Here is a 22690-nt window from a genome sequence, read left to right as displayed (position 1 = left end):
CCATCTCTACTAGAAATGCAAACATTAGCTGGGTGTGGTGGTGCACGCCTGTAGCCCCAGCTACTTGGGGGGCTGAGGCACGAGAATTACTTGAACCCGTGAGGCAGAGGTTGCAGTGAGCTGAGATTGAGCCATTGCACTCCAGCCTAGGTGACGGAGTTGAGAATCTGTCTCCCAAAAAAAAAAAAATTTCATTCTGTCTGAGGGGAGATATTTGAGACTCTGATGAGGACTACTGCAAATTCAGTTAAAAGGTTCCACACTGAGGCTGGGAGCAGTGGCTCACGCCTGTAATCCCAGCACTTTGGGAGGCTGAGGCAGGCGGGATCGCCTGAGGTCAGGAACTCGAGACCAGCCCGGCCAACATGGTGAAACCCCGTCTCTACTAAAAATACAAAAATTAGCTGGGCTTGGTGGCGCACGCCTGTAATCTCAGCTACTTGGGAGGCTGAGGCAGGAGAATTGCTTGAACCTGGGAGGCAGAGGTTGCAGTGAGCCAAGATCGTGCCATTGCACTCCAGCCTGGGCAACAAGAGCGAAACTCCGTCTCAAAAAAAAAAGAAAAAAGAAAGGTTCCACACTCAATATGAAATTCCTTGTTTCATTGTAGTGGTCACATATGGACATACTAGATAACAGTTTCTGGGTAGAAGTGATGTTCTTATTATATGAAGATACCTACGGAGCAAATATGAACCACGCATGGGTTATAGGGCACCTTCATTCAAACTTGTGTCCAACAAGTTGGGATAATCTAACAATCGAACAATATAAGTCGTAGTTGCACAAACTTACAAATATTTATATGCATACAGTTGGAGTAGCCGAATTACAACACTTTGTGACAAAGCTGATTTTGTCTTTATTTTATTTTATTTTATTTTATTTTATTTTTTTTGAGACGGAGTTTTCCTCTTGTCCCCCAGGCTGGCATGCGGTGGCGCAATCTCGTCTTACTGCAACCTCCGCCTCCCAGGTTTGAGTGATTCTCCTGTCTCAGTCTCCCGAGTAGTTGGGATTATAGCCATGTACCACCACACCTGGCTCATTTTTGTATTTTCAGTAGAGACAGAGTTTCACCATGTTGGCCAGGCTGGTCTCAAACTCCTGACCTCGGGTGATCTGCCCCCCTTGGCCTCCCAAAGTGCTAGGATTACAGGTGTGAGCCACCGCACCTGGCCACAAAGCTGATTTTTAATTTTAAAAAGATCTCAGTGTGCGGCTATGCCCTCTCCCTGTGCCCATGCTGAGGGTGATTCTATAAACCAAGCCCATAGAAAGCTGCCTTGTAAGTCAACCCAAGGGTCCTACACTGCAGTGAGACCTTCTGTAAAGGAATCCTCTAAATTTTGGTTGCACCAAATAATTTAATGAATTCGATAAATAGAGCAATGACAACAAACTTCAGCTTTTTTTTTTTTTTTTTTTTTTTTAGACAGGATCTTTTTCTGTCACTCAGGCTGGAGTGCAGTGGCACAATCACGGTTAACTGCAGCCTCAACCTTCTGGGTCCAATCAAACCTTCCACTTCAGCCTCCTAAGTAGCTGGAACTACAGGTATGTTCCAGTTAATTTTTGTATTTTTTGTAGAGACAGAGTCCCAGTCTATTGCCCAGGCTGATCTCGAACTCCTGGGCTCAAATGATCCTCCTGCTTTGGCTCCCAAAGTGCTAGAGTACAGGCATAGGCCATCTTGCCTGGCCTCAAACTTCAGTTTTTAAAGCTTCTAGAAAATTGCAAATGTTGAAGACAAAGCTTGCAAACAGGAAGACATTAAATATACCCCTTACAAGTGAGGGAGGGATGAGATAAATTCAACAATGAGTGTCCTGACAGCATATAAGATTTAATTTTGAAATTATGTAATTTTGCTTCAGAATATCTCAACGTATGGAAGGCATCTTTTAATGAAGCCCTATTTTTAATCAAACACATTTATAAACTGTACCAAAATGGGACAAAAATAAAAGATGTACAAGTTTGCTGTATCTAAAATTTAAGAAACATTCAAGAGAAACTTACAGAGAAACAACTCCAAGATAGACAACTTATTTAATGAATTTTCTCTTGTAAAGGTATCTGAATGGAGCCAAAAAACCAACATCTGGAAGTGCATTTGGGTGAAATAGTTTCACTTTTCAGTGTGGAAAAAAAAAAAAAAAAACAGTGAGCAGAATTTACTTTGAGCTCACCAGGTACCCCTGAACCTGCAGAGAGAAAATTGTCTTAATTAAAATGGTTACGGTCTAACAGAGAGGAGTCAGTTTAAGATGTCAACAATTTCTAGCATACTAACCAAAAAAAAAAAAAAAGCAACTTTGAAGAAGGGCATAGCAATTTTAAGAAAATATTTTTAAAATGTTAGGACTCTATTGAAAAGAAACTCCTTTAGAAAAATTTCAATGGATTCACCAATATATTAAAACCAACTTACCAGTCTCTCTCTATATTTATATATAATATATGTTATATATTATATATGAAGTAAATATATATCTAATTAAATAATAAATTAAATATATATTCATTATATTTATTAAATATAATAAATAAATAATAGATCTAATTAAATAATAAATATATTACATTTGTACAGGAGTAATTATGGCAGGCCAGGCGCGGTGGCTCATGCCTGTAATCCCAACACTTTGGGAGGCCTAGGCAGGTGGATCACCTGAGGTCAGGAGTTCGAAACCAGCCTGGCCAAAATGGTGAAACCCTGTCTCTACTAAAAATATAAAAAATTAGCTGGGTGTGGTGGCAGGAGCCTGTAATCCCAGCTACTCAGGAGGCTGAGGCAGTAGAATCACTTCAACCCGGGAGGCGGAGGTTGCAGTGACGCGAGATTGCACCATTGCACTCCAGCCTGGGCAACAAAAGTGAGACTCCACCTAAAAACTAAACAAACAAAAAAATAGAGTAATTATAGCAAAATCATGATTACTTTTGTACCAACTTCATATATTTTTTAATAAATTTATACAATAAATATATATGCTGTACATATTATATAATATGTATATGTTACATATTTAATTATATAATAGTTAAATATATAATATATTTTATGAAATATATATTTAATATATAATATGTATCTTATATATAAATAAATAAATAAATATATATTCATTTATTTTCAGTGCCTGCTTCCCTCTATAAATTGTCCTCATTTGGAGAACACTTGGACACAGGGTGGGGAACATCACACACCAGGGCCTGTTGTGGGGTGGGGGGAGGGGGGAGGGATAGCATTAGGAGAAATACCTAATGTGATAATAAAAAAAATAAAAAAATAATAAAAATAAATAATAATAATAAAGTGTCCTCATTTGGATGGCAGATTGAATGATTATCCTACAGATTATCTAAGTGTGTCTAGAACAGACGTTTTCAAACTTTAGGTTTTCCAGGATGGTTTATTCCCTTCTGATGCATGTGGTCTAAGACCTTTTTTAAAAATCAAGGTATAATTGAGAACACAGTAAGTGTACCCTCCAGTAAGTTTTGACATATGTATACATCCAGGTGACCAGCACCCACTCAAGATAAGGAAGGTTCCCATCACTCTAAGAAGTGGTTTTGTGCCCCTTTTGCAACTAGTCCTGCCTGCAGAGGTCACCACCCTTCTGATTTCTGTGGCCGAAGACTACGTTTGCCTATTGAGACCCACATTCTGAGAAGCTCAGGTCTCTGGTCTTTGGAGACCCTGGGATAGAAAGCGCAGGTTGTCTTGGACGGGCCGTGATTCTGGCCTGTTTATTGCAGGGTTCTGTGGGTGTAGCGGAGGCTGAGAGCCCCTTAACAGAGACCCTAGAGGCCTGGAGGGCACCTTTGGATAGCACGGCAGAAAGTGTGCTGCTCCAGATGGGGGAGATCACAGGCAGGGGGGTCACAGGGGCTGGCCTCCCAGGGGCTCGGCCTCCCAGGGGCTCAGCCTCCCAGGCCTGACACTGACCTGAGATCCAGCCCTGCCCCTGCCCCTGCCCTTCCCAAGTCAGACCTCAGCACCCCTGGCCCCTCCACCCCAGGCTGACCTGGCTGCTCCTGCTCCTCAAGACTGTGTGACTCATTCCACCTCAAAGGTGTGACTTCTGCTGTGGGCACGTGGCAAGACCTGGTGGGATGAGGAAAGATGCCCGGTGTTGGTCCTTCCCTTTAGAGACTGAGAAGTTTGAGGGTCTTTTCAAGAGGAGAAGGTCTGGGTATCAGAGCACTAAAGGTGCCCACCGAGTTTCCAGGGAGGACCAGGCAGCACTTTGGCCAGATGGCAGAGCCCAGCCCCTGCCCAGCCCCTGCACGAATGCATTGGTGTCCACCTTCCTGCCCCACTGCCTCGATTCCTGCAATGTAGAGGTTGAGATCCAGGTGAGGACAGCAGCACCGACACTCAAGCCAGTACAAACCGAGGCTGGGGCAAGAAATTCAGCACACACCGAGCTGTGATAGGAGTACCAGGAAAGAAATCAGGCCTGGCAGTGGGGCTGGTGCCTCTAGCCTCAGCGGGGCCTGTCGCAAGTTCAAGGGTGGTCGGCATGTCCACTGTGAGGGGGGGACCTCTAGCCTCAGCGGGGCCCGTCACGAGTTCAAGGGCGGTCGGCCTGTCCACTGTGAGTGCTAACCATGACCATGACCCCAGTCAGGGCAAACGCCAACTCTGGGTGAGCAGCAAGTTGGAGGCGAGGGAAGGGATCACGACCCCACCAGATACTAAGGTATGGAGGAAACAGCTTGGGGTGACACCCCACTGTGGGAGCTCAGGAGGATGTGGGTCCGAGTCCTGGCTCACCACAGACCAGCTGTGAGCATCCACTGGGCTAGCTGCTCATACTCTCCAAATGACAGCCCAGCCCAGGGTCACTGAAAGATACCAGGAGTTGATAAGGTGGTTGGCACAGGGTTGAGGATACAGTGAGCACTCAGTAAACAAGAGTGAGGGTGGAAATGATAAAGAATAGGGTCCCACTAGTGTGGGATTCTGTCTCCATGGAGGAACTGAGATGACACGATCTTATAGTCTGATCTGACAAGGCGTCCTTCTCTCCCCTTCCAGTCTACCAGGTGTCCTCCCTGCCTACCAGGTGCCCTAGCTGTATCAGAGGTGTCCTCTCTGCCTACCAGGTTCCCTAGCTGTATAAGAGGTATCCTACCTGCCTACCAGGTGCCCTAGCTGTATAAGAGATATCCTACATGTCTACTAGGTGTCCTAGCTGTACTTGTCTACCATGTGTCCCACCTGTCTGCTCAAGCTCCCTGCAATCTTCCTTCTTTAGACTGTGTGCACCCCATTGTCTGGAATTCTCTCTTCTCCCTGAAAACTCTTCTCCCTTCCTACTCCAAGAGGGCTGCATGCATTCCCGAGCACATGCCACCTACACACGTGTCCCACCCATCTGGGGCCCTCAGCTCAGGTCTACCCCTCGATGACACACCAACATCCTCATTGTGTGCACCGGGTTTAGCACCCAACACAACCCAAAACCTGCACAGGAGGCGAGCCTTGGAGCCTGGCAGCTGACACCTATGTGAGTCGGCAGCCCTCCTTCACTGTAATTAGTTACTAATGACATGACGATTATGAGTCCCTGGGAAACGTCGTTTCACAAACTGAATGTTAGACACCCTGCATGGTAAGCCTCACTATACCCACTGGATAGGTGATATGGCTGAGGCTTGGATAAGTTAGACCACCTGAACCTGTGAGAAAGCACTGGCCCCCCCTCTGCTCCACCCTGCTTCCCCAATGGAGGGGTGGGTGAGCCCAACCTGCCTGTGCCCCCTCCTCGACCGGACCTCAAGGCCACCTCGGCCCACTTCCAGAGGCCCCTGTGCAGCAGGCCTGGCCTGTTAGGAAGTTCCCAAGAGACTCTGACACGAGGCCTACAGGGGCCCCCAGCCAGTGGGGCCAGCGTTCTCTACAGCCCCTGCACCTCCAGGGTGCAACCCCCCGGGTTGACACTCTGTTACCCTGAGGGGGACAGGAGGCCTCCGAGACCCTCCCTGGACCCAGCAGTGCCACTCCTACCCCTGCCCCTGCACATGGGGAGAGATGAGGGGCCCACTGTGTCTCGCCAGAAATCAGCCTGGCTGGCATCTGCGCTCCACACTGCCAGCGCTGCAGGGATTATTTTTACCTGCGATCGCTTGTTGAATGTGTCTGATAATGTATTTATAACGGCCCGAGTAACTCAGCTAGTAGCAACCGCCCTGAGAGACAAGGAAAATGGTTAGAAATTGTTCCCTGTAAAAATAATGAGCTCCGCTGAAATGAGCCAATCAAAACAGCCTCTGAGTGGCTCCCGCGCAGCCAGGTGTGGGGTGTGGAGGCGGGGCAGGTGCCGGCTGGCAGGGCCGCCTGGTCTGCTCTCGGTACGATTTCTGGGACAGGATCTGGGTGGCCGGGGGTCCCTGTCCATTCCTCGGGCCCTGCCAGCAGTCTGTCCCCAGGCACCACACTGGGGAAGCCCAGCTATGACGGGGTGGCCCAGAGGACGATGCCAGCAGTTTGAACCATCCCCTGAGGAGTGACCCAAGCCCGTGTCTACATAGCAGCAGGAGCCTGAGTCTCGAGGCCAGCCCATGTGAGCGTCCCCCAGCCACCTGCCCATGGGCCCAGAACTCTCAGTCCCCTCCAACCCGTGCAGTGTGACCTGTCCCCTTCAGCCCTCATCCACCGCTCTGGAATGTCCCCCTCCTGCCCTCCCCATTGCTCTCTTTGCCAGGAACATTCCAGCATCTCCTTTCCCCAGTTCACCTTGTCTGTTCCCCCAGACTCATTTCAAACAGCACTCCCCTCCACAGGGCCCGTCACTGCCCAGCTGGGAAGAGGCCTTTGCTCTGAGTCCCAAAGAGCCACAGGAGGGTGCCACCCGAACTCAGGGATGGGCTGGGTCTCTAGACACCCTTCTGCTTGTCTGTTTGCTCTACTAGAATGGGGACCTCCTGGGGCCTGAGGCCACACCTTCCTTTCCCAGGTAACTGAATTGTGTGAGGTTGAGAACAGGAGCCTGAATCTGAATGAAGAGCGAGGAGCGGGAGTTTGCACAATTGCCTCATAGAATCTAGGGGACGCTTCGTTCCAGATCACAGATGGCCTGTTCTCCAGCACAGATCCTTATCTGCCTCATCCTGTCTCCTCCTCACCCTGATTCTCAGTGGCCAGCTCTGCAGATTTGCCCTCTAACTATATCTTCCTGTCTTCCTCGTCCCCACTTCCACCCCCTTGGCCTCGGCTCGGGGCTCATCAGCTCTTGCATTGGCCCAGTCTGTGGGCGGCCAACCGGTCTCCCTGCCTCCCACTTGCCCTCTTCAAAGCTTTCTTCCTTGGGGTCCAGTCTGACTCTGCTGCTGCTCTGTGTCTCACTCCTCCATGGCTCCCCAGTGCCTGGACCGTGGAGGCTGAGCTCAGTCCCCGTGGTCACGCCGCCTCTCCCCTGCAGCCTAGGAAGTCCTCAGTCCCAGCTGCAGACCGGACACACTCCTACAACGAGTCACTGTTTCCCACTCAGAGGGCTTAACTCACATTGTCCCTTTTCCCCCATGCCTGCCCTCCCCAGCTGCCCTCAGGGCCCTCCGTCCTCCGTAGAGCCTGGTCACTCCTGGAGATCCTGCCCCTCTGCCACACCCGAGCCAGGCAGATGCTCTCGTCCGCATGCCCGGCGGAGCATGTGTTTTAAACGCGGGAATGCATGTCGCTGTGTTTGCACCTCCTGTGTCGCACCTGGATCGTCTCTTCATGGGGAGGCTTGCCCGTGAGCTTATGGAGTGAGGCAGAGGACCATGTTCCCTCTCTTTTGAACCCACACTTACAGGGGCCCTGCATTCCACAGGCCGGGGCTGAGTTCACACAGGAAGTAAAAATTGGTCCTGCAGAGTCAAAGTCAGAATGGCAAGAGCTTGTTTAAGCCTTGTTAAGTGATTGCGGGCACCTGCCCCCGTGTGCACATGGCCTGACCTCATCCCTAGGATGGCTTTGTGGGGTTTAGCGGTTATTCTCATTCTGCAGACAGGGAGCATGGTGGAGACCATGTCAGGCTCAGGTGCAACCAGGCACTAATGTTTCCAGGCCCCACTGTGCCTCTGCTGCACCCAAAAGCCCCCGCAAAAGTCCCAGGGTGGAACTGTGGCAGAAGGGGACTGAGGCAGATGGTCTAGAAACCGAGCCCCTATTGAAAGCTGGAAGGATGTGATGTTGCAAAGCCTGCCAATAAAAAGTTTGTCTGGGGGTTTTTCTCCTGCGTCCAGATAATTTGGTGTTTCTGTCAGGGCCCAATCAGTGTAAAGGAAACACATGGTATATGAACAAGGAAAGACTAATTCAAAGCAAGGCTCATGGTAACAAGGGACGGGACCAAGCAGGGCTTAGCCTGAGGACAGAGCCCCTGAGCAGGGAGGTCTTCTGAGGCTGCAGGCTCTGCCCAGAAGATCTGATGGGCCCAGTGCCAAGGGCTGGATGTGAATTCTGAGAGTCTCAGGCTGACTTCAGAATCTAACTACTCTACTGTTTAAGTGGATCGCAAACTTAGTGGAATAAAAGCCTTTTCTCTGCTGCTGCCAAATGGTGAGTGTAAAAGCGATGGTGTCTGTGTCAGCACTCGGTTCAAACCGAGTCGTGGATGAGGCAAATTGGATCATTATTCATTTTATCGGTTACTTATTTTTAGAGCAATTTAACAATTACATGTAAAGTGCAAAGCACAGACCCGATTTACAGCGAAACTGTGAATTTACTGCCTCCACTTGGGCACCTGACAATTTGTGTGTTTCCGTTTAGCATATTTTCCCCTTCCCTCAGGTGCCTGGGTTTAACATTATCTTTCTATCAATTTATAGGAGAATCCTTCGGGAGGATGAAGGTGTAAAGAAGTCGGAATGAAAGCCACTAGCACGTGGACTAGTCCATGTTCTAGAGTCCTGCGGATAACCAGGGCCTGTGTAGATGCCATGGAGCCCCACAATCCTTTGTGGGGCTGGTGGGGCAGGAGGCACAGGGAAAGACCCTCCCAGGAGAGACCCCAACCCCATCCCTGGACTCTGCAAGCTTCTCTGATGGTGATGGTGTGTCTAGGGGATGGGATCATCGTACTGAACCCTCAGAAAAGAAAGAGACATCAGCCCAGGAGCCCTTTGCATCCTCAGGGGAAGCCTTCCTGATATGGGCTTCTGGACGGAGGTGTGCTCCTGACTGTTTCTGAAAAGCATACACACCCTGGCAGCCCAGGAATGCCCAGGAGCACCAGGCTCTGCTGAGAAGATTCTGACCTTGGTAGTCAAGGCGGCTGTCATGGTGTACCGATCCTACAGAGAGATTAACAGAAAAGGGGAGAGGAGGCGGGGTGGCGAGGAGGGGAGGGAGAGGAAGCAGGAGAGGCACGGGGAGGGGCAGCCTCCTACCTGAACCCAGGCCGCAGGCCGCCTGGACTCCATGTCTGTCTTATCATGGACCCCATCAGGCCTGTGCCCGGGTGACCCTGGGAACCGTCTCTGGTTTCTCACTCACTGTGTCCTTGCAGGAGAGCCACTGTGGCTGGCTGAAGGGATCCAGGGCACATTTGTGTGGAGGAGCGGGAGGAGATTGCCCACCTCCCACCACTGCTTTCCCTTCTAATTGAATGCTGGGGAAATGACAGGTCATTGCCTCCAGTTTTATTTGTTGGGAAAATGGAGGAAAGTGCTACAGATTGTGATCGGGAACAAAGCTGAGCAGATAACAGGAGACCCGCCTTGGGCCTGCAGAAAGACAAAACCCGGTCCCTGATTAGACGCTGAGGGCAAGGCCGGGAGGGGGCAGTGGGCGGGACATGGAGTGTCATTTGATTGTCTCTGCTGGCAGCGCTCCCCGGAATTGCCATTTAAATTATTCAGCGTTTTTAAGCACCGTTGGACTTGGGGTATTGTCAGCTGCACAGGGAGGCCGAGTGTGGGGCTGCCTCAGCCCCGGCAGCTGGATGACGCGTATTCTCCTGTCATGGTATTTCTAACAGTGACTCTCTCCCTCTCTGTAGCAGGCACCATCTTCCCTCCTCCTTTAGGGAAAGGGCACCCACATCTCCTTTGGGGACCCCCACTTCATTCTCTCTCGAGGAGCCTGGGGGCCTTCCTGGTTTCAGCTGATCAGCATTTCCCATGGCTGTGGCCCTGGCCCCAGGGATCCATGCACAGGAGGGCACATGGCCTATGTTGGCTCCACTCGAGGGACCTCTCACCACCTTCTGGGAGGGGTGAGACAGACCAGAGCTCAGTCTCTCCCACAGGATGGGCAGGGGAAGAGAAGAGCACTGGCCCAGGGGGTCGATAGTCATTAGCACTGGTGAAAGGAGAGTCAGCCTCAGAATGAGACCTGAAAGCAGGAAGAAGCGGTCAAGCGCAATCAGGTGGAGTGGGGCATGAGTCAAATTGTGGGGCCTGAAATCCATGCCTACCTGGAACCTAGAATGTGAGGTCTTTGCAGAGGTCATTAGTTAAGACAAGGTCAGCCGGGGCAGTGGCTCACACCTGTAATCCCAGCACTTTGGGAGGCCAAGACAAAAGAATTGCTTGAGCTCAGGAGATTGGGACCAGCTTGGGCAACATAGTGAGACATCATCTCTACAAACAATAATAATTTAAAAAAAAGCTATGGTGGCACACACCTGTGGTCCTAGCTACACGGGAGGCCGAGGTGGGAGGATTGCTTGAGCCTAGGGTGTCGAAGCTGCAGTGAGCCAAGACCTTGCCACTGCACAACAGCCTGGGTAACACAGAAAGACCCTGTCTCCAAAAAAATGAGGTCATACTAGAATAGGGTGAGCTATATGTGCAATATGACTGGAGTCCTTATGAGAATAAAAAGAACCTCAAAGAGGCTCACTGTAAAGACGGCCATGTGAAGAATGAGGCAGAGATGGGAGCAATACAGCCACAAGCCAAGGAACAAGAAAGATTGCCAGGAGCCATGAGAAGCTATGAGAGAGACTCAGAGGGAGCCATCCCCAGGGCCTTTGGAGGAGGGATGGGCCTGCCCACAATTTGACTTCAGATCTCAGGCTTCCAGAACTGTGAGACAACACCTGTTGTTTCAAGCCAAACAATTGAGTTATGTTGTTACTGCATTTAGGGAACTCATCAAGAAGTATAACTGGGCTGTGGGTGTTGAGGCTTTCCCACCCCTGGACCAGACAGTGGAGTTAACTGGGCTTCCAAATGCCCTGCCTTGCTTCAGCCAGTTTAAAGTGGGTCATGGTGAATTGTGACCAGTGGATTCCTAATGGACACAGCCTCCACAACAAGCAAGGGAACACATCTGGCTGGGCAGGAGTACGAAATGTGCATGTCAGTGCAGAAAAATCTGTACCTCAACCACTCAGTGAACACATCCCAGACCCCTCCCCAGGCTCCCTCACAGCTCAAATAGCCAAATATTTAGCCCCCTTTTGAAGTGCTCAAGTACTGCTGGAAAAAGAGAGATGCAAGCTACATAACTACAATTCAGCTTACTACAGAAAAGCCACTGCAGGAATTCACAGATGGCTTGATCCTGCCTGGCCAGTTTGATCATCAAAGGCTGCATTTAGAGGGCAGCATTTAAAATTAGACATTTCAATGCCTCATATTAATGGATTGGGGAATATAAATTATTTCTGAGTGACATTTTAATGTACTACATATCCCTTCAATCTAAATTACCAAAGTTTATAAACATTGAATTCCTATTGATGAAGAAGCAAATATTTAGCTCCTTACTGCTAAGACCATGAAATCACTTTTCAAAGGGTGGAGCTGAACTTGACCTACTCACTTCTGTTGTTTAGTTCTTGGTCCCAGTCAGGAAAGGAGGAGAGAGCACTGTTTTTGAGTGCTTATGTGCCAGGGTTTAGACTATACATTTTCAGGTGTCTTTTCCCAATTTTCATAACAACCCAATGAGGAACATAGTATCTGTCTATTTCAGCTCAGGAACTAGGTTTAGAGTAGTTAAAAAAAACTTTCCCAAGATCACACGACTGGGTAGTGTTTCAATGTGATTCTGTTTGGTTCTAAAACTCATGCTTTTTCATTTCTACCAAACCATGCTTCATCGCTACAGGTTTAAAAGGACAAAAGGCCCAAAGTGGTTACAGCCTGGCCTAAGGTCACAAGGAGGGTCGGGGTAGAACTGAAGATGGAGTTGAAGACTTGCCTGGTTGGTTCTCAGCTCACCCTCTATGCATCCCTTACTCTTCCCTGTGTGTGCTAAAATGTTAGGTAAGACTCTTAATACTCAGAAGTAATCCTCAGAAAACTCATTTGCATTTTGTTTTCCTAACAAGGAAAATGGGGCAAGCTTCACCTTGTCAGTCCTTCAGGGGAGCAAACATTCCAGAAGGAAGTAGGTTTGGATTGTTGAGGTCTGGTCCTCCTTACCCCTGGGTGGGGTAAACTGACTCATTTTAAAATATCTCTAATCTGGGCTTTTTTTTCCCTATGGACAGCCCATGCACATGCTAGCTGGACCAGGAGGGAGGATGGGAGGAGGGAAAGTGGTACTCCGGGCCCTGAGATGTGGCTACCTGAGCCTCATGCTGACAACATGTGCCCAGGGACAGCAGAGGGAGCAGCAAGGGGGCTGGCCCTGGGAGGCCCGAGGCAGGGGCAGCTGTCACCTGTGTCTTCTCCCAGGCACCCACAGGTTAACTGTGAGCTCACTGAAGAACTGCAGAGCATGTGTGCTGGTGGGGTGTGACAGGCAGGTTGGTTCACCCCACTGTGGAGATAGGGAGAAGAGGACCCTGTTTGGTTTCTCTCTGGGGCTTCATGCCTCCTGGTTTCTATCCAACTGCTGGGCCCCTAAGGTCCTCTCCTTCATGCTCTTTTTTTTTTTTTTTTTTTGAATCCTGATCTCACCCTCATCTGGGGAAGTCTCACCACCCAGCAACAGAGCCTCTGTAGTACAACCACTACCTCCCCTCCTCAAGCACAGAGGGCCGCTCTGTGCCACTCCTGCTCTGAAAGACAGAAGCATTATTTTCCCCACCAACGCCAAGGTCTTATCTTTTCATATTGAGAATATTCCTGTGACAAGCCGAAAAGCCACCTCAAATGTCATGCTGCTATTATGGGCGGTTTTGCCCAGCCTGTGAGACAGGCAGAGGCTCTTCCCTTGATCTACACAAGAGATGGCACCTGTTTGTTTAAGAAACTCATAAAACAGTGTGGTGGGCTGACAGGTGGCCCCAGAGAGACAGGTTGCATCCTAATCCCCAGAACACAGGAATGCCACCTTATGTGACAGAAGAGAGAATGTTCCCTTTTATGGCAAAAAATGTGATTAGGCTAAGGATCTTGAAAAGAAGAGCTTATCCTAGATTATCTGGGCAGCCCCAAATGCAATCATGTGTATCTTTTTAAGAGAGAGGCAGAGGGAGTTTGGGGACAAACACATACAGAGGACAAGGCGATGTGATGATAGAGGCAGAGATTGGAGTGATGTGGCCATCTGTGAGGAATGTCAGGAGTCCGCTTTGGATGAAGCGGGGAAGGACCCTTTCCCAGAACCTTCAGAGGGAGTATGGCCCTGCCGATGCCTTGATTCTGGACTTCTTACCTCCAGAACTGTGGGAGAATAAATTTCTGCCGTTTAAAGCCATCAAGTAGGTGGTAGTTTTTGACAGCAGATAGAGGAGAGTCATTCACAGAGTAAACTTCTGCACTGATCTGGCCGGGAGAGGATGCAGACAGCACAATTCCATTTCTGGATCTGATCCTTCTGAGGCTCCAGGGGCCCAGTGCCTCTAGGTCCTAATCCAGTTCTCAGTGTTCTGGACATTCTCAAGGTCTTCTCGCCCTCCTGGCTTTCTGGGCAGCAGCCCCTTTTCCATGTCCTGGACTAGGAGCCACCAGGGCTGGGCAGGTGGCCTTGTAAGAGTCTCACTCACGTCTGTTCTGCACAGGTGACCAGGGATTTTTCTCCTTTGCCCAGAGCTTGAGAAGCAACAATGCCCATTCCTACAGGCAGGGACAGAAGAGGAGAAAGTGATGAGCTTTGGGTTCAGAATGGCCCACGTCTGGGCATCTCAGCGATTCTGGCCCTTGAGCCCTCCCCATCTTTTCCATGGGACTAATAATAACCAGAACAGTTCCTCCTACTTTTCATCCTCTCCACTGAAATCCCCTCTCCTCTGGAACTTTCCCAAGTATTTGTAGAAGATGTCATTGCAGCCTCCATGGTATGGATGGTGAGGACTTGGCAAACTAGCAGAAAAGCCTCATAAAATGTCTATCCTAGCCAGGCATAGTGGCTCATGCCTGTAATCCCAGCACTTTGGGTGGCTGAGGTGAGTGGATCACCTGAGGTCAGGAGTTCAAGACCAGCCAGCCTGACCAACATGGTGAAACTCCGTCTCTATTAAAAATACAAAATTTTTAGCTGGGCATGGTGGTGCCTGCTTATAATCCCAGCTACTTGGGAGGCTGAGGCAGGAGAATCACTTGAACCTCCGAGGCAGAGGTTGCAGTGAGCTGAGATTGTGCCATTGCACTCTAGCCTGGGCAACAAGAGAGAAATTCTGTCTCAAAACAAACAAACAAACAAACAAGCAAACAAACAAAATATCCATCCCGGGAGACAGCCAACAAAAAAGGTGAAAAAATAAAAAGAGAGCGAGGTCATTCTAAAACGTAGTGACTACTTAAGAGAAAGAAGCAGAGAGATGAGATGTGGAGGGTCAGGACAATGTGGTCTGGGCTGTACCTCTTGTACCTGTTGGCATCCTAGACCCCAGGAGCTCAGAAAGTGGTATATTTGCAGACTGCATCTGTAAAGAAGCCATTAAGTTAAAATGAGGTCATTAGGGTGGGTCCTGACTGGCATCGTTATAAAAAGAGGACATGAGGATACAGACACACAGAGGGATGACCATGTGAGGACAGAGAAAGGTGATGGTGTCTACAAGCCAAGGAAAGAAATGTTGGGAGGAACCAACCCTGCCAACCTTGGTCTCAGGTTCCAGCCTCCAGGGCAGTGGGAAAATAAGTTCTGTTGTTGAAGCCCTTTGGGCTAAGGTGCTTTGTTGTTGCATCCCAAGGAAACCAACGGGCAGGCACAGGTGTAAAACACCTTTAGAGAGGTGGACAGAAGGGGTGCCCTAGGGGCCGGTTGGTGAGACATGATGTGCTAAGGGTGGGGAAGAACCTACCAGGCAGAGGCATGACAAGGAAAATGCCCCAGCAGAGACCCATCCACATGGGGTCTTGTGGGCCACACTAAGGGGCTTAGGTTTTGCTCTAAGAACTCAGGAAATTATGGAAAGATTTTAAGGAGGAAAGCGATGGATTTGGTTTACACTAAAAACAAAGAAGCCAAACAGAAGCCACTCTGGCTCCTTGTCGAGAGCAGGCTCTGAGGCATGAAAAGCCGTGGGAAGATGGGTGGGAGCTACTGCAGGAATCCAGGACTCTGATGGGCCCACGATGGGGGAAGTGCAGCAGATACAGCAGGTACAGGGATCTCGAGCCTTGCAGTGACCCAGCCAGAGAGCCACAGAGCTGGGTGAGGATTTGAGTGTGGGAGGAGAAGACAACACAGTATCTGGAATGATTTCCGAGTTTTGGGGTGGTCAGATTCATTGAAGGGTGGAAGAACAGTGAGGGACAATGCCAGGGCAGGCAGGAGACCAGGCTGTCCCTGGGACATGCTGAGCTTGAGATGTATGGTGCTTTTTCAAGTGGAGAAGTCAAGCAAGCAGCTGGATGTGTGAGACCAGAGCCACAGGGAGGAGAGAGACATTTGTGAATCATCAGTCCATGGGGTGATTTAAAACCATGGGGTTGGATGATGAAGTTAGAATGGGTGGAGATAGAGATGAGAAGGAGTCAGGAGGGAGATGGGGTGCTCTGATCTCTAAAGACTGAGCTGAGGAACAGGAGACAGCAAAGTAGTTTGGGGAGGAGCTGCCAGGGGGGTAGGAAGTGACCCAGGGAGGGGTGACATGAGAAAAGGATGACCTGCTGTGCTAAATACTGCAGAAAGGTTGAGCATGATGAGGACAGACACGTCCCTTAGATTCAGCCACGTGGAAGTCCTTGGTGACCTTGAAGAGGTTAGGTTTTAGTGATGAGGATGGAATTGACCACATGCCAGGCAGGTTGCTGCTGCTGAGAATCAGGAACAATTCCTGGAATCCACTTAACCCACTGCTTGGCAGAGCATCAGTCATTTCAGCCCCCGTTTCTAAGAGCATGTTATTATCAGGTCATGCTTGAGATTCTTCCAGCCGTGAGGTCTGTTGTAAGCACCGGTATGGGCAATGTGCAAAAGAACCTTGTTCTCCAAGGGCACGCGCCCTCAATTTTCCCAAGCAGTTGTTGGGTTCTTGCTCAGTAAATTCTCTGGGTAGCATGGGAGCTACATAATTAACATTCCTGTTTTCTCCTTTTCAGTGGTCTGGTCAGCCTCTGGGACCAGGACAAAGGCTCCCGAAGAAATGTGATAGCCAGAGGGGTCACTTTCCCGATCACAGAGCCTCACCTCATCATTAACATAGTCTAAACATGTTGGAATGGCTGGAGTCACCCCTTACGCCCCCAATAGCTATGTTACAGACTACAGAGGATGTCTGGAGGCTGCAGCCCAGAAGCAGGAGCCCAGAGTTTCAAAGTCCCCTTGCAATGCTCCTGAGGGTTATTACATTAAGTTTGGAAGGTAAACCAGCAGGCTCAAAGGTTTCTCCGACCTTTGCATCAACATAGATATTAAATATTATATTTTTGTATTATGTTACTATAATTAGATATGTATACATACAGAGATTCCAAATTATGTTCCTGTGCATTTGTTAACTGCAAAACCAGAGCTGCCTGTTGTTCTCCTATGTGACTCCTCTAAACCTGAAAATCTTTGCAAACACCTGTTAGGGAGACACCCCCAAAATACAGCCAGAGTTGGACAATGAATTCTGCCATTTTTCTGTCGACAGAAGATGATTCAACTTTGAAAAACATGAAAGCAAACCCCTCCAGGGGTAGTACTTACTTGACCTTGAATGGGTACTAGGAATGTGGGGAGTTGTCCCCGGCGGGGCTCCGAATGGTCCCTTTCTGCAGTCAACTATAAAGTTCCCTGGAATGTCCCAGCTCCCAAGGCTGCATCTGATACCAAGCAAGACTGAGAATTGTTCCCAGACAAGAATCCTCATTGCACCTTTAGAAGTCCACCCACCCAACCTCTAACCAGAAAATAGATTCCTATAACATTGCTAATGGGTCATGGGCCGAACACGTCACTTGAGACCCTCCAGGTTGTGAGCTGTGCCCACCTCACATGGTGCTTCCAATCCTCTTCCTTGCTTGCACTGTAAGCATAGAGAATCAGGCAACGAAGTGTGATTGGAGATCATGGCTGAAACCTTCCACCGGAGGCAAGTTTGGCTCTGACGCCAGAGATGCTGCTGACTCTATTTTTTGCCTTTTCCTGGTTGAAAATGTTTTGCAAGCCACCAGCCAAGTTGGGGTTTCAGTATCAGAACAGTTGGCAATCCTGCCCTAATGGAAAATGAAGGGGAGCTAAACGTGGTGTTCACAGTTCACCTTTCATGGGAAACTTCTATTACCTGGTGGACGGGCTAATGCCTGGCTGTCAGACCCATGAGCAGGCGTCCCTCATGGGGAACTTGGTCATTCTGGTAGATGCCCGGGTGGCTTTTGTCTGAGCCGTGTCCAGTTTATGCCTGCCTGACTGTTGCTCGGGTGCTGGGAGCCTGGCTTTGCGTTCTCTCTGGCATCTCAGAGCCTGGGACAGCCCCTAGATCCTCCGATGGAAGGCAGAAATTCAATGCACACCACGGTAGGAAACAAGTTTGAAGACTTTTTACTTACAAATCCTGGGCAAGAAGGGAGCAGCGAGTTGGGGAGGGCAGTTCTCTGTCCTCCCAGGCAGAGACATAGTCAGGCAGAGAGAGAGCACGTGGCAACTGGCAGTATATATAAGGAACAGGGTGTGAGTCACTTTAAGATCATGGGCAAATGCTTGAATCGTCCGCTTAAGGGAAGCAAACAGGAAAGTGCTGGGCAGAAGAGATGCCTCCGGGTTCTTATCTCTGGGCACCAGCTTGAGCCATTTGGGTGTAGGGGAGAACTGGAAACTGTCCAGGGTGACTGAGCCCTGCTTCAAGCTACACCTGTATTCAACATTCTTACAAATTGATGTAAGAATTGACTACAGAAGAATGCTAGACTCCCCTCAGGCCATGCATGCCTGCAGCCCAGCCACGCTCCTTGAAGGCAGGGCTGGCAACTTCCACCCTGGGTTGCCCAGGGCTTTGTATAGAAACTCCCATGCGAGAGGCACTTGGTAAATCATCCTTAGATGACTCAATTACTTAAAATAAAATTTGCAAAACGAACTGATCTGGCCTGCTCAGTGCTCAGCCGTTTGTCAGAACACAGATGCCATCGAAAACAAAGTGTTCTTTTTAAAGGTTTTCATGGGAGGTGTTTCCTTTCCCCGAGTTTTAGTATTGGTTTCTCTGCCAAGGCCACCAGAAGGGCAGCTTCCACCAACCTTCATTCTCCTGTGCCCACGTTCACGAAAGCTATTTCACTCCATGAATCTCCCTCTTGCTGTCTGTATCTATGTGCTTCTTTCTGTTAAGGTTCTGCCATGAGCCATCTAGAAAATCATTCTCGGGTTTTAGAAGGAATTGCGTTTTGCCAGCTGATACGCGGGTTTTTATGACACTGTTGGGTGCAGCTCCTTTTCTTTCATACAGAAGACTGCTAAAAACAATTGGAAACCTACCAGGCTGACAAGTCTGAAAACACATAAAGCAGAGAGACGAGCCGGCCGTAGGATACAGTGTCCATCAAGAACGCACTGGGCTGGTGCCCCCGTAGAGTCAAAGCACCTGCCTGGCCTGGCCTTAGGTGCCACGCCCTGACTCCTGTCAGGGCCTCTACTCAGATGTCCACCTAAGGGAAAGAAAACCATTCGTCCTCAGGAGAGTTCTTTCATGGAGGCCTGGACTTATCCAGGATGATGCCTAGTTACAGCACAAAGGCTGGGGGCAGGGTGTAGGGCACTGTCTGACACTTAGTTTGCTTTTGCTGTGAAAGGGGAGTGGTGAGGTGGGGGAGCATGAGCTGGCAGCAGAGGCTGTCCCTTTGTTTCCAATCTCTATAGCCTCTTTGTCCTGTAGAAATTCTACTGTTTGTGTGGAATTAAGATACAGATGGAAATGCATGCCTGTTTTGGGGTGATTGTTTGGTTACCTGGGAGCCCTTGTTTTCAGAAGGGGAGTGAGACTGCCTGGGGATCCTAGAACTCACTAAGGGAGAATAGTGTGTGTCTGTCAAGGTCCTGGGAGCTTAGAGTACACCTGCCTCAAGGTGAGACCAGGTCAGGCTGCCGTGCAGCAGCCGCTGCTCTCACTCAGGCATGGGTGCATTATTGGGCCTGCCAGGACAAAGCAGCCCCAGATGGGAAGATATTCTGACTGCAAATGGCCCAGAGAGAGGGTGTCACAGCCCCAAACACACTCAGCCCTGGGGCTGAACAGCTTTAGCCGAGACCCTTGAATCACCAGGCTGGGTGGGAGTAGGGAGTGCCACTCCTTTCTGCTGCTCCAGGTCACATCCTAGAAAGAGCCGACCCCTGATTCTCAGCTTCTTGGAGCTGTGTGTTGACAGTAACATCCACTGCATGTTTCCATCAGCAGCCAGTGAACCTGGCAGGAATATGATGGATGGGAACTGAACAGAAATCACTCCATTAGTGCCGGGGAATTTGGTTCATCAGAAAGCAGCAGGGTGTGATTTTGTCCATTTGTTTGAAGTCAGAAAGGAGAAGGCAGGGAAGGGGGTGAGCTGATTTTCCAGGGCAGCCGAGTCCAAAAGAAGACAGCATCGGGCTCCAGGTGGCATTTGTTTTCATTAATTGCAGGGACAGGAAGAAGGCAGTGGGTGTCCTTCAACAACCACAGGGATGGCAGTGCTGGGGCTTGAATCCAGAGGGACACTGGCTCGGGGAGGACACAATCTCACCACTCATGTGCCTGCATTCTCTTTGCATCTGTCCCCTCCCTTTTCATATTTCCAAGTGACTTCAGGACCCCACAGCCATCTTGATGCATGAAAATTATGATTTGGGCAACAGCAAGGGTGGAGTGTTGTCCATTTACTTTTCTTTGCCTTTTCTCAACTTGGTTGGACCAACAGAGCTGTGCCCCACTCTCATGTCTGAGCTTGTTCTGAGAAAGGCTATGAAAGATCACCAACCCAGCCTCCAAGTAGCCACGGACTCACCCACCCAGGACGGTGAGCACTCACAGTCAGAAAGATCACCAACCCAGCCTCCAAGGAGCCACGGACTCACCCACCCAGGACGGCCAGCACCCACAGTCAGGAAAGATCACCAACCCAGCCTCCAAGGAGCCACGGACTCACCCACCCAGGACGGTGAGCACCCAGCAGCACGTGATTGACTGCAGGCTGGAAACAGGCTCCACTCCGAGTGTAGAGGGCGGAAGGGAAGAGATGACAGGTGGGCAGCTTGGAAGAAGACAGAACTGAAGAGGGGCCGAGAGCCACGCTGCTGGTGCCAGAGAAACCTTTCCCTGGGCCAGAAGGGCTGGGAGGGGCAGAGCTCCCACCCATCCATCCTGAGCAGAGCCTGGGGGTGGGGAGCAGACTCAGTGTGCCCTGGAACCAGCAGGACCTGGGTTGGATGTGCCTGCTGTGCCACCCTGGGCACATTTATCACCCTCTCTGAGCCCCAGTTTCCTTGTGGGCTTTTGTGAGGGTTGATAGAGTTAATGCTTGTGTGAGACCTGGTGAGTCTCAGCACCAGGTATCGCCGCAATAATCACCCCCATGTTCTTTGCAGGCCCTGTGCAGGGCTCCGGGCTGAGGTGGGGGCTCTGGGGCTGGTGTCTGTGCCTCAGGCACTGGAGAACCGCCCGGGACATGGGAAGATCCCAGGAGCGGCTGTACCTCCTCTACCCAAGCCTGGCCCCAAGGGGAGGAGGAGACGTGTTCTTTCCTCTGTGAGAGTTTATCTTATGAGACGTCTTAATCATACCTAAGCAAGAGCCACACGATCTTAGAAATCCCCGGTGAAATGCTCCACACGCTGGCAAGCCCGGAAGCAGCGCATCTTCCGAGCTAGGCCCTGTGATGGGTCCTGGAATCCCAGGAGGGAGCTTCACTGTGGCTGAACTCCAGAGCTGCCGCCAGCCAAGCGACTCAGGCCGGGCCCCTGACCCTCGGTGGATCCGCGGATCTTGGCTTCATCACCTGCCATTCTGAAGCTGGTCCCAGGACAACAGAAGCCCCTTCCAGGTGGGGGCATTAGGATTGGGCTCTGGAGGCGCAGGGCTGATTCTATGCCGCGGATTCTGTCGGAACACAGTAGGTCCGGCATGGGGCCGCGCATTGTTAAGGAGCTCGCAGGTGGCCCACACCGCGCATTGTTAAGGAGCTCGCAGGCGTTGGTTCTGCTTGTGGGGCAGTGAGGCTGCACCCAGGCCCTCAGGCAGTGGGACCCGCCTCCAGCCTTCTCCCGGCTGGTCCTGCGGCTGGTAAGGGGCAGGCCGGCCGACCCTGCAGAGGCGGAAGCTGCCACGTCACCCTCACCAGCACCAAGCCTGCACCCACAGGCTGTTAGGGAGTCGCAGACACCGCTGAGGAGGCTTCATTAACAATCACAAGCATCGTGCACACGCCTCGCTTCAGGCAAGTCCCAGAGGCAGAAACCCAAACCCACCCCACAGATGCACTCAGCAGACCCCAGCTAAAGCCCCCGTCAAAAGTGACCTCTGTCTTCGTGTCCCACTCCTGTCCCCACGGTGCTGAGCTGGGCAGGGAAGAGGTGGGAGCGTTCCAGGACAAACACCCTGTGAGCATCTCCCTCCTGACACATCCTGTGCGAAAAGTCACGAATCACTGTGCACGCCACACATCTCGTGGATAGCACAGGGATCGGAGAATCTGCCTGGTTCTCTTCACAGGGCACTGGTGAGAATAAAACGAGACGGTGGCACCCCAGCTTCATAAACGCTGAAGGGCACGTAAAACACAAGTCACCATAGACTCATCGCTCTATGCAGCCCCCTGCCCGAGGCAGCCCTTTCTAAACTATCTACCTTCAGAGCCTTTCATAATAGGGAATGGAGGATGAGCTCAAACTTTCTTTCTTTTTTTCTTTTTTTTTTGAGACGGAGTCTCGCTCTGTCGCCCAGGCTGGAGTGCAGTGGCGTGATCTCGGCTCACTGCAAGCTCCGCCTCCCGGGTTCACACCATTCTCCTGCCTCAGCCTCCCGAGTAGCTGGGACAACAGGCGCCCGTCACCACGCCCGGCTAATTTTTTTGTATTTTTAGTAGAGATGGGGTCTCACCGTGTTAGCCAGGATGGTCTCCATCTCCTGATCTCATGATCCGCCCACCTCGGCCTCCCAAAGTGCTGGGATTACAGGCGTGAGCCACCGCACCCGGCCGGGCTCAAACTTTCTCTGTCCCTCTGCAATTCTCACAGAGCATACTGACTCAGCCACCCGGAGGGCCTTGCGTTCCCGTGGGACTGCCGTTCCTTTGAGTGAGGTTTATGGTTCTGTTGGGGATGATGTGGGACATGTTTCTTGAAGTTCTCCTTTTCGGGTGGGCTCAGAGGTGAAGCCATTGGTCCAGGATGTGCAGCTGGTGGTAGCACAACCTCCGTCTCTCTGGCTCCAGAGCCTCCCCTGCT

General features: G+C 50.5%; 3 annotated features.

The window, feature by feature from the left end:
* Window positions 7395-7908: an enhancer, noted in NCBI's record as "H3K4me1 hESC enhancer chr1:4673757-4674270 (GRCh37/hg19 assembly coordinates)". NCBI's record gives its function as "activates a minimal SCP1, AML or CMV promoter by ChIP-STARR-seq in primed H9 embryonic stem cells {active_cell/tissue: H9 hESC(primed)}" and the evidence as "EXISTENCE:reporter gene assay evidence [ECO:0000049][PMID:30033119]".
* Window positions 20389-21171: an enhancer, noted in NCBI's record as "H3K4me1 hESC enhancer chr1:4660494-4661276 (GRCh37/hg19 assembly coordinates)". NCBI's record gives its function as "activates a minimal SCP1, AML or CMV promoter by ChIP-STARR-seq in naive H9 embryonic stem cells {active_cell/tissue: H9 hESC(naive)}" and the evidence as "EXISTENCE:reporter gene assay evidence [ECO:0000049][PMID:30033119]".
* Window positions 21172-21955: an enhancer, noted in NCBI's record as "H3K4me1 hESC enhancer chr1:4659710-4660493 (GRCh37/hg19 assembly coordinates)". NCBI's record gives its function as "activates a minimal SCP1, AML or CMV promoter by ChIP-STARR-seq in naive H9 embryonic stem cells {active_cell/tissue: H9 hESC(naive)}" and the evidence as "EXISTENCE:reporter gene assay evidence [ECO:0000049][PMID:30033119]".

This window comes from Homo sapiens, chromosome 1 (assembly GCF_000001405.40).
Source record: "Homo sapiens chromosome 1, GRCh38.p14 Primary Assembly".
Taxonomy (NCBI): Eukaryota; Metazoa; Chordata; class Mammalia; order Primates; family Hominidae; genus Homo; species Homo sapiens.
This window is presented reverse-complemented; position numbering and strand designations above follow the sequence as displayed.